We start from the raw sequence: 12,933 nt of genomic DNA on the forward strand, positions 1-12,933 counted from the left end.
TTAGTCTTCTGTGTCAAGGAGGGGGATTTTCTGAGATTAAACTCAGTGGATACCAGTCACTTAAATCTGATGCATTATATCCCCGGACATTGACGCTAAATTCAGAAGATATCTTACAGCTGCTGACACAAAGCCACTGACAGAATGATTCACTAAAAACAAACAAATAAATCAAAACAAAAACCACAAGGATTTTTCATTCAAACTGACACAGGCTTCCTGAGTTTTAGTCTTCAAACCTGTAGTAACTGTGCTAGATTATTTTCTGGACACACTCTGAAAGTACTCAACTATAGAGATCAGTCTTAAAGAGGAATGCTAAATTCTGGTTTTAGAGAAGAACAGGGGCATTACAGGATAGCTTGTCATATGGCTGAGAAACGATGACTCATAAAGAGGAGCAGGTGTTCATAGTAATCAACATTAAATCTCTGGAGTCACAAGCACAGGCTCAAATATAATTCCACCATCGATAAACGCCAGGACATCGGGTAAGTTACTTAGCCCCTTTGTGCCTAGGTTTCTATGGTGGAATAATGAGAGAACATATCACAATTGTGGTGATGAGAATTAATTGAGTCAACATTTTAAAATTACTTAGAATATTGTCTTGAACACAAAAAAATGCTATGAAACTGTAAATTAAAAAAAAAATCATCACGCAACTCATTATCTGTATATAGAGAGAAGGAATCTTAGAAGATAGTATGATTGTTTCAAAAAACGTACATTCCTTTCCACAGAGAAATACTTGGTATGAATGTAATAAAAACAAAACAAACAAAAAACACCATACTAACTACAGTTAAGAGGGAAGAATTGAGTTTGTTTCTCCATACCACGTTCTCTTTTGACCCTCATGTAGGCAATTACTTTAATGTGTTTAATGAATACTTTTTCAAAATTGGCATCATTGCTTTGTATGTTTTAAATTCACAAAAATGCTATCGTATCACATACAAGTTTTGTACTTTCTTCAGTAATTACTGTGCTATTAATATTTGCCAATATTGCTATCTATATCTTTCTTTAATCCATTTCTCCTATTTAGTCATATACTTCATGGTGTAAATTCAGTCCATTTTACCCATTTAACTCTCCAAGTATAGACACACAGTTTGACTGGCAAACATTTTTATAGATAGTGCTCATGGTTTGTAGGGGCTGGAAGCCACAAGAAAATGTATAAACTGCTAAAGGACAGACTAGCAAGCACACTGGAAAGCAACTTTATACCAGTTATTCAGATTAATAGACGATTGTCTTAATCTACATGTTTCTCACAAATGATCATTTTATATTTACTTTATACATGTGCTTGTTAGATTTTTGGTTCTCCTTTTCTAAAAAGTTTACTCTTGAAATATATACATTTTTTTCTGCTAGCATTCTTTAGAAATAGCTTCTAAAATATTTTACATAATAATCTCAATTTATTTTAGACACTGAAATATCTTTTCCCATTCAGTCCTCTATTTCTTAACTTTTTCTGTAATATCCTTGGTTTAAACAGTTATTAATTTTAATCTTTAATTTTATACTTACAGAAAAAGATATACTAGTACTAAAATCTGAATCATATGTCATGTACTCAGATTTATCTATTGGTTTGCATTTTTCTTCGTTTGCTTATGCTTAATTTTATATTTTAAAAACATACATATAAACACATAAATCATATATAGACATTTGTATTTGTTTATGAAGCATTTGAGGGCAGGTTACAGACATTTTACTCCTGTACTTTTAAATATTTCACTATGTATTTCCTAAGAGCAAAAATATACTCTCATATAAACACAGTAAATTTTTCAAACTCAGAAAATACAATTGATTTAATAATATTTTCTAATGCAAAATCAATATTTAAATGTTGTTAATTATCCTCATCAGGTTCTTTAACATCCCACCCTCTAGGCTTGGCTTATACCTTGAATTTTGCTGTCATGATTGTTCTTTGATATGAAATATTTCCCCCGTTTTTTTGCTTTTAGACCTTGATCTTTTTAGAGAACAGGCTAGTTGTTTTACATAATCCCCCACAATTTGGATTTTTCCCAAATTTTCCTCAGATTAGAGTTAGATTATGCATTTTGGAGAGGAATAACACAGATATATTGTGCCCTATTAATACATCATATTGGGACACACAATATTGTTCCAATATTAGTTATGTTAAGTTTATTTTTCACTTGAGTAACAAGGTCTCAGCCCAAATCATCCACTATAGTGCTATCTTTTTTTTTTACACTTAAAAAGTATTTTTTGTAGTATACTTTGAATTACATCATCGTGTTCTGAATCAGTATTTTTCTCACTAGTTTTAGCACCCATGATAATTTTTGTATTATTGTCTGTTTTAGGTGTGATGTTCTGATGTTCTTATACATAGTGAACTGGTTACTATAGGAAAGTAACTTAATATATCAATCAGCTCACACAGGTTATTTTTTCTGTGTTTGTGTGTGGCAACAAGAGTGCCTAAAAAAAAAAAACTTCCAGGATACAACATCATAATATTAGCTTTAATCCTCATATGGTACATTAGATCTGTAGAGTTTTTCATCCTACATAACTGAAATGACTGCAACTTTATGTCTGGCTTGTTTCACTTACCATAATGTTCTCCAGGTTCACCCATATTATTGCAAATTACAAGATTTCCTTTTTTCAGGATGAATTCTATTCTATTGTAGATTATTTTTTAAACTACACAATTATTTATTAGCACTCATGGGTAAAGAAGAACTTACTTTTTTCATGATTTATCACATTTGTCTGTATCTGTGTGGATTCATGGATTTATTTTATATTTAACGTATTGTAATACATTGTTTATTTATTTTGATGCTCAAATTATTCCAGATTTGACCAGCAGAGGACCACTAAGTAGAGTCCGTGACCCTAAAACATGTTCTATCATTTTTTCCAGGTTTGTCTTGAAATTCCCCTTACCTCTTCATTCGTCTAAGGAGCCCTTAGATTCTTATGGTTGAAAATGGTATTTAGAAATGAAGATTTGTTAAAGAAGCCTGCTCATTGCTATTGACATGTCATTGTTAACTATTTACTTATATCTCTCTCACCCCTCTCTTTTTATATATATATATATTTATTTATATTTATATTCATATATGGCATGTGTGGATATATACACACACACAGTACGTATATATGGTATATATACACACGCACAGTACGTATATATGGTATATATACACACGCACAGTACGTATATATGGTATATATACACACGCACAGTACGTATATATGGTATATATACACACGCACAGTACGTATATATGGTATATATACACACGCACAGTACGTATATATGGTATATATACACACGCACAGTACGTATATATGGTATATATACACAGGCACAGTACGTATATATGGTATATATACACAGGCACAGTACGTATATATGGTATATATACACAGGCACAGTACGTATATATGGTATATATACACACGCACAGTATGTATATATGGTATATATACACCTATGATGTATATATATGGTATATATACACCTATGATATATATATGGTATATATACACCTATGATGTATATATATGGTATATATACACCTATGATGTATATATATGGTATATATACACCTATGATGCATATATATGGTATATATACACCTATGATGTATACATATGGTATATATACACACATGATGTATGTATATGGTATATATATGGTGTGTGTGTATATATACAGTGTATATATCTGAATATATATACACCTTTTTTTAGTGTTATATAAAAAAGTTTCAAATACAAAATGAGAAAAATAAAGTAGATGGATGGGACTGGAGATATCAATGCAAACTCATAGTTTTGTAAATACTTTAAGGTAAGATATACAAAGAGACACAAATAAAAATGTACTTAAACACACACAAATATATATATATAATTACATATAGTTGTACCTATTTTTATATCTCTCCATTGATGCAATAGATGCAATAATAACATTTTAATATTTGGTAGAACAAGTCCCTCCTTCTTTATACTCTTTTCTTTTGGATCACTTAGCTCTTTGCAGGCCTTATTCACTCCAACTAAATACTAGGATAAGTTTATTGTGTTCCTCAACATATTCAATAGGAATTTTGATTGGGATACTTGAGTGTTTTTATAACATGAATGTAGAGTTATCTATAAGTCTTGAGACAGGTAGTCAGAAAATCTGGATTTGAATCCTGGCTATATAACTAGCTAGATAAATCACCAAGGACAGTTTAAATTCTAAATAAGACTTACAGTTCTCATCTGTAAAATGGGTATAGTAATGGGTACTATAAAATATTGTCAAAATAAATAAATGAAAAATAAATTATAAAAATTATTTTACAAATGTATTTTTCTCCTCCTTCCTAATTAGTTTCCCAATTATTTTCTAAATATTACAGAAAGGCCATTCTTAATAAACTATAAAAAACAAAACCTTAGTTGTCAAATAAACACATTAATGGGATGGTGATTTCATTGGCTTTGATTCACGTATAACTGATCTTGCATAGCTATACTCAACTATAAAACTACCTAATTTTAATTCAATTATTTTCTGCATCTTTAAGTTATAATATTTATATCATGAATTTCACCTATAAAATTGTGCTTTGTATCTCTATACAAACTGAATTAGCTGGACAGGTCTTCATTTTAGCTTTTTAAAATTATAATGAGGGGAAAGTGACAGAAAAGACCAATGGAACCAGTGAACTTAAAGGAACAAAATCATTTTTTAAAGTGTTCTCAGGAATTGTTTTATAATTGTTTTTATTGCCTAAGAAATATTCTCCTTGACATTGCAAATTCTTTTTGTTATGCTAATGAATGCACTTAGTCCTCATATTAAAAAAGAATATATACTATTTCCTTTTATAATAAGATTTTTTATTATATAAGTTCTTCGTTACTTTTAATTAGAAAATCGTAGTCATTCAAATGACACTGAAGGAAAATTTAGGAGATCATGCTTCACAAAGCACTGTCTGATATGTTTTCCATCAACAGGGCCCTTGAAACTGTTCAGCTTGTTAGGCATTTGCTATGGAAAATGCATCTATCTCTGAAAACAAGATGGAGGGAAATGCAGTCCTCATTTTCTCCAGTACTTAGTTGTTCAAAGGACTGTAGCAATTTCAAGTGGTACTAAAATATGCATGCATAAGGCTTGATCATACTAACAATGAAGAAGTATAATGAGCATTTACGATTTGAAGAGTTTCAAATGGATGTAAATTAGTATCTTATCTAAAGGGATAGAAAATATCCCATCAAGTTAAAGCTATTTTTCAGATTCTAATCTTATCATAAGCATTTAAAAAAACAACCAGTATTTACTACTCTTGCTGAGAGCATATTGTGTTAGTTCATTTCCCCAATAGGAGAGCACTTCAAAGCTATCAAGGACTTTATCAACTCATAACAAAGTAAACAAGTGAGGGAGAAGGTGATGGTAATAACTGTGAAATGTCATTTAGGAAAATAGAATATAAATTTAAGAACAAGATGAATTTCATATCTATCTGCATTAGTTTTCTATTGCTGTGTAACAAAGCACAAACACACTTGCTTAAAACAATGCTCCTTTATTCTGATCCAGTTCTGTAGGTGAAAAGTCTAGGCAATCTTAGCTTGACTTTCTGCTTAGGCAGTTTGAAGTCCAAAGTCAAGATGTCACATGGGCTGGACCTATCTGGAGGTTCTTGGGAAGATTCATTTCCAAGCTCATTCTAATCGATGGCATAATTAAGTTCCTTGCTGCTATGGGACTGAGGAGGTAAAGAGCAGTAAGTCGCCACTTCTGTCTCTAATAAGGAAGGGTGGATGTTCCTTCTTCCTCCCTCATTCTTCCATTCTAATATTCTTTCCATCCTATATTCCCTTTGTCTCCTCTATAAGGGAAACTGCAGGAATGGCACTTAAAAACCTTCCTTAGTCAGAGGAACTAGACTAGAAACACACATTCCAGTCCAGGTGTCTACAGAATGCTGTGCTAAGGTATGCATGTTTTTACTGCTGAAATGCCTGGTGTTCCTATTTACCATTTCTATTTTTAGTTCTACCACCCAAACATCATTTTGGGAGTTGATAAAAAATAAATAATTTTCCTTCAATGTTACTGTCAGAGCATTTTGTGCTATCACAAAAAAAAGGCATTAATTAGCATGCAAAATCAAGGACAGCTTTTTGTCTTTTCTCTAAATTACAGGATCATTGAAAATTCAGTCTTTGGTATCATTCTTGTTTTAAGATTTTTATATATAGAAATATGAACCACTACCAAAATCATTTTGCAAACTCCATACATTTACAAATTATTAATTATATGTATTTATATCATAATAATTTTTTAAAGTACTTTCAGATATGAAAAATTGTTCACTTTTGCTACATCATCATAGAAAAGAGTTCTGTAAGCAAGCCTTTAGCTTTCTATAAATATTTCACAACGATAACAATTAATCTTCCCTGAAAATAGAAATAATTTAAAAAATGACAGTTTCCAAGGAACTGATTCAAAGTTACCTTTATCCTCCAAGTGCTAAACCTGGATAGAAGAGAACTCAGAAGTCTCCTAATTATTTGATTTTCACAAATAATTATCCAAAAGGTGTATTCAAAATGTGTTTCTGTGATAAGAACATTGCTCCAGAATATAAATCTTTGCTAAATATACCCTAACTTGGAATATATAATCAATTGTAATTTCCAATGTTCAAACTATATTACAGGTATTTAAAAATTGTTTTAATATTGAGGGGACAAGGCCCAATTGTAAGGTCATTATCTCTGGTATCACAAAACAGTTGGCTCAAAAACTACTAGTTGAACTAAGCAAAAGTAATAATTATATATTTTTTGCAAATACACTAAATCAAACTCTCATAATTATTCTATACATATATAAATTATAATTTTTATTGTTGGTTGCTTACAAAATATAGTGGAAGCAGAAATATTTCTGATTATATTAAAGCTTAATCACTTCTATAATTTAATAGCTTCATGATATTATTTTGAAGACCTGGAGAAGAAATTACTTTAAAATTTTCTGAATTACTCTAAAACACACACACACACACCCTAAAATTCCATATATGTCTTGATCAAGGGAAGAATGCAGGAGAAAACTAAAAAATGGGTATCTATATCTGTTCTTATGAGATACTATTGCTGCTCTTTTCTATTGAACATGACACGATAAACTGTAGGCACCATGTTTTAATAAAAAAGAACATTTACTTTTTAGTATTTAAAATAGAGGAAAAACTACTTCCACCTGGTTAAATTTTCCCTTGGGTCAAATTGGCCCCAATTAGTCAATTAATTCCCCATCAGTGTTACTTAAATGAAGAGCAGATTAGATAGATAGGCAGATAGATAAGACATACTCTTATATCTATCTATCTATCTATACATACATACATAAACTTATATCTTTCTCTCTCTATATATATCCATTTGTGTCCATATCTGTATCTATATAGATGTGTGTACATACACATCCATTTGTGCATATATATGTATATCAGTTTGTGTAGGTGTATATATATATATATATATATATATATATATATATATATCCATTTGTGTCCATATCTATATCTATATAGATATGTGTGTATGTATATATATCTCCATATGTGTGTGTTTATATATATATATATCAATTTGTGTGTATATATCCATTTGTGTACATATCTATATCTGTATAGTTATATGTTTATGTGTGTATGCATATATATTAGATATATGTATGTGTGTATAATTTATATAGAGATACATTTTATTTTATATATATATATATATATATATATATATATATATTCACTTATGTATCTCCAAATCAGTAAATGCCAGATTAGAGTCTTCCCACTTTTCTACTCTGATATAACTTGAACCCGACTGCATTCTCTTGAAAGAAATAAGCACTAAAAATGAATTTTTCAAGAATAGTGATTGCTTACTTTAAAATTTTCATTCTGACCCTCCCTAGAGCTGACTTGTCTCAAAGTTTAGAAGCCTTTCTCTACCAAACCCAAGGTCTGGCAGAACCCCAGAGGCAACTTACCTGGAGTTTTTTTTTTTCTCATCTTCTGATTGATCTCATCTGAGGGCCAGGCTGAGAGGGTGGGGGTAAAGGGGTACGTCACATTACACACTTCAAGAGTCCATCACCTTCAACATTAATAAATCCACTGCCTTCAACATTCTGAAGCCTCTGGGCTCAAGACCAAGAAATTTGTCTTCTTTCTGGTGTGAAATAAGTTTCTACATTTTTCCCTGAAGTAGTAGATGCAGTTATGGATCTCAACCTTCTGAGAAAAACTGTCTCCCTGTAAACAGAGTCTTTATCTTCATAGCCCCACAGCAATCACATTATTTTAATCAGAAAGACATTGGGTCACAAGATTTTCTTGAGCCCAACTCACAATGGAACTGATTAGGAAATAACTAAATTACCTACGGACGAAAACAGATAAGTTAATATAAGATCTATTTGACTAGGTGTCAGGCCTCTGAGCCCAAGCTAAGCCATCATATTCCCTGTGACCTGGACATACACATCCAGATGGCCGGTTCCTGCCTTAACTGATGATATTCCACCACAAAAGAAGTGAAAATGGCCTGTTCCTGCCTTAACTGATGACATTGTCTTGTGAAATTCCTTCTCCTGGCTCATCCTGGCTCAAAAGCCCCCCCATCGAGTACCTTGTGACCCCCCACTCCTGCCCGCCAGAGAACAACCCCCCTTTTTCCTTTACCTACCCAAATCCTATAAAACGGCCCCACCCCATCTCTCTTCGCTGACTCTCTTTTCGGACTCAGCCCACCTGCACCCAGGTGAAATAAACAGCCATGTTGCTCACACAAAGCCTGTTTGGTGGTCTCTTCACACAGACGCGCATGAAACTTGGTGCCACACTTCAATCTCTCCCTTCTCTTAATTTCAATTCCTTTCATTTTCTGGTAGAGACAAAGGAGACACGTTTTATCTGTGGACCCAAAACTCCAGTGCCAGTCACGGACTAAGGAAGGCAGCCTTCCGTTGGTGTTTAATCATTGCAGGGACACCTCTCTGATTATTAACCCACGTTTCAGAGGTATCAGACCAAGCAGGGATGCCTGCCTTAGTCCTTTGCCCTTAGCGGCAAGTCCCGCTTTTCTGGAGGAGGGGCAAGTACCCCAACCTCGTATCTCTGCACCCCGATCCCTTATTTCCACGCCCCAACCTCTTATATCTCTGCACCCTGATCCCTTATTTCCATGCCCCAACCTCTTATATCTCTGCACCCTGATCCCTTATTTCCATGCCCCGACCTCGTATCTCTGTGCCCCTACCCCTTCTCTGCTTTTCTAGAGAGCAAGAACCCCCCCACCCCTTCTCCGTGTCTCTACTCTTTTCTCTGGGCTTGCCTCCTTCACTATGGGAAAGCTTCCACCTTCCATTCCTCCTTCTTCTCCCTTAGCCTGTGTTCTTAAGAACTTAAAACCTCTTCAACTCTCACCTGACCTAAAATCTAAGCATCTTATTTTCTTCTGCAATGCCGCTTGACCCCAATACAAACTCGACAGTAGTTCCAAATAGCCAGAAAACGGCACTTTCAATTTTTCCATCCTGCAAGATCTAAATAATTCTTGTCGTAAAATAGGCAAACGGTCTGAGGTGCCTGACGTCCAGGCATTCTTTTACACATCAATCCCTTCCTAGTCTCTGTGCCCAATGCAACTTGTCCCAATCTTCCTTCTTTCCCTCCCACCTGTCCCCTCAGTCCCAACCCCAAGTGTTGCTAAGTCTTTCTAATCTTCCTTTTCTACAGACACATCTGACCTCGCCCCTCCTCCCCGGGCTGCTCCTCGCCAGGCCAAGCTAAGTCCCAATTCTTCCTCAGCCTTCGCTCCTCCATCCTATAATCTTTTTATCACCTCCCCTCCTCACACCCGGTCCCGTTTACAGTTTCATTCCATGAGTAGCCCTCCCCCACCTGCCCAGCAATTTCCTCTTAAAAAGGTGGCTGAGGCTAAAGGCATAGTCATGGTTAACACTCCTTTTTCTTTATCAGACCTCTCCCAAATCAGTGAGCGTTTAGGCTCTTTCATCAAATATGAAAAACCCAGCCCAGTTCATGGCTCGTTCGGCACAACCCTGAGACGCTTTACAGCCCTAGACCCTAAAAGGTCAAAAGGCCGTCTTATTCTCAAAATACACTTTATTACCCAATTACCCGACATTAAATAAAACTCCAAAAATTAAATTCCGGCCCTCAAACCCCACAACAGGACGTAATTAACCTCACCTTCAAGGGGTACAATAATAGAGTAGAGGCAGCCAAGTAGCAACATATTTCTGAGTTGCAATCCTTTGCCTCCACTGTGAGACAAACCCCAGCCACATCTCCAGCACACAAGAACTCCAAACGCCTGAACCGCAGCTGCCAGGGGTTCCTCCAGAACCTCCTCCCCGAGGAGCTTGCTACAAGTGCCAGAAATCTCGCCACCAGGCCAAGGAATGCCTGCAGCCCAGGATTCCTCCTAAGCCGCGTGTCCCATCTGTGCAGGACCCCACTGAAAACTGGACTGTTCAACTCACCTGGCAGCCACTTCCAGAGCCCCTAGAACTCTGGCCCAAGGCTCTCTGACTGACCCTTCCCAGATCTCCTCGGCTTAGCAGGTGAGGACTGACACTGCCCGATCACCTCAGAAGCCTACAAGACCATCACAGACGCTCTAAGTAACTCTCACACAGTAGAAATTAAGTCCATCCCCTTCTTAATACAGAAGCTACTCACTCCACATTACCTTATTTTCAAAGGCCTGTTTCCCTTGCTTCCATAACTGTTGTGCGTATTGACGGCCAGGCTTCTAAACCTCTTAACCATCCCCAAACTCTGGTGCCAAATTAGCCAATACTCTTTTAAGCACTCCTTTTTAATTATCCCCACCTGCCCAGGTCCCTTATTAGGCCAAGACAGTTTAACTAAGTTATCTGCTTTCCTGACTGTTCCTGGATTACAGCCACACCTCATTGCCGCCTTTTTCCCCAGTTCAAAGCCTCCTTCACATCCTCCCCTTGTATCTCCCCACCTTAACCCACAAGTATAAGACACCTCTACTCCCTCCTTAGCGACCGATCATGCACCCCTTACCATCCTATTAAAACCTAATCACCCTTACCCCGCTCAATGTCAATATCCCATCCTACAGCACGCTTTGAAAAGATTAAAGCCTGTTATCACTTGCCTGTTACAGCATGGCCTTTTAAAGCCTATACACTCTTCTTACCATTCCCCCATTTTATCTGTCCTAAAATCAGACAAGGCATACAGGTTAGTTCAGAATCTGTGCCTTATCAACCAAATTGTTTTGCCTATCCACCCTGTGGTGCCAAACCCATATACTCTCCTATCCTCAATACCTCCCTCCACAACCCATTATTCTGTTCTAGATCTCAAACATGTTTTCTTTATTGCACCCTTCATCCCAGACTTTCTTCGCTTTCACTTAGACTGACCCTAACACCCATTAGGCTCAGCAAATTACCTAGGCTGTACTGCCGCAAGCGTTCGCAGATAGCCCCCATTAGTTCAGTCAAGCCCAACTTTCATCCTCATCTGTTACCTATCTTGGCATAATTCTCATAAAAACACACGTGCTCTCCCTGCTAATTGTGTCCGATTAATCTCCCAAACTTCAACTCCTTTCCTTCCTAGGCATGGTTAGTGCGATCAGAATTCTTATACAAGAGCCAGGACCGCACCCTGTAGCCTTTCTGTCCAAACAACTTGACCTTACTATTTTAGCCTAGCCCTCATGTCTGCGTGCAGCGGCTGCCACTGCTTTAATACTTTTAGAGGCCCTCAAAATCACAAACTATGCTCAACTCACTCTCTACATTTCTCATAACTTCCAAAATCTATTTTCTTCCTCATACCTGACGCATATACTTTCTGCTCCCTGGCTCCTTCAGCTGTACTCACTCTTTGTTAAGTCCCACAATTACCATTGTTCCTGGCCCGGACTTCAATCCGGCCTCCCACATTATTCCTGATACCACACCTGACCCCCATGACCGTATCTCTCTGATCCACCTGACATTCATCTCATTTCCCCATATTTCCTTCTTTCCTGTTCCTCACCCTGATCACGCTTGATTTATTGATGGCAGTTCCACCAGGCCTAATCGCCACACACCAGCAAAGGCAGGCTATGCTATAGTACAAGCCACTAGCCCACCTCTTAGAACCTCTCATTTTCTTTCCATCATAGAAATCTATCCTCAAGGAAATAACTTCTCAGTGTTCCATCTGCTATTCTACTACTCCTCAAGGATTATTCAGGCCCCCTCCCTTCCCTACACATCAAGCTTGAGGATTTGCCCCCACCCAGGACTGGCATATTAGCTTTACTCAACATGCCCCGAGTCAGATAACTAAAATACCTCTTAGTCTAGGTAGACACTTTCACTGGATAAGTACAGGCCTTTCCTACAGGGTCTGAGAAGGCCACTGCAGTCATTTCTTCCCTTCTGTCAGACATAATTCCTCAGTTTGGCCTTCCCACCTCTACACAGTCTGATAACAGACCAGCCTTTATTAGTCAAATCAGCCAAGAAGTTTTTCAGGCTCTTAGTATTCAGTGAAACCTTTATATCCCTTACGGTCCTCCATCTTCAGGAAAAGTAGAACAGACTACAGGTCTTTTAAAAACACACCTCACCAAGCTCAGCCACCAACTTAAAAAACACTGGACAATACTTTTACTCAGAAGTCAGACCTGTCCTCAGAATGCTACAAGGTACAGCCCATTTAAGCTCCTGTATAGATGCTCCTTTTTATTAGGCCTCAGTCTCATTCCAGACACCAGACCAACTTAGACTGTGCCCCAAAAAACTTGTCATCC

The 12,933-nt window shown here is 36.4% G+C and overlaps 1 annotated feature.

Moving 5' to 3' along the window:
• Positions 8,430-9,017: an enhancer, noted in NCBI's record as "NANOG hESC enhancer chr5:100650831-100651418 (GRCh37/hg19 assembly coordinates)". NCBI's record gives its function as "activates a minimal SCP1, AML or CMV promoter by ChIP-STARR-seq in naive H9 embryonic stem cells {active_cell/tissue: H9 hESC(naive)}" and the evidence as "EXISTENCE:reporter gene assay evidence [ECO:0000049][PMID:30033119]".

Source organism: Homo sapiens, chromosome 5, assembly GCF_000001405.40.
Source record: "Homo sapiens chromosome 5, GRCh38.p14 Primary Assembly".
NCBI lineage: Eukaryota > Metazoa > Chordata > Mammalia > Primates > Hominidae > Homo > Homo sapiens.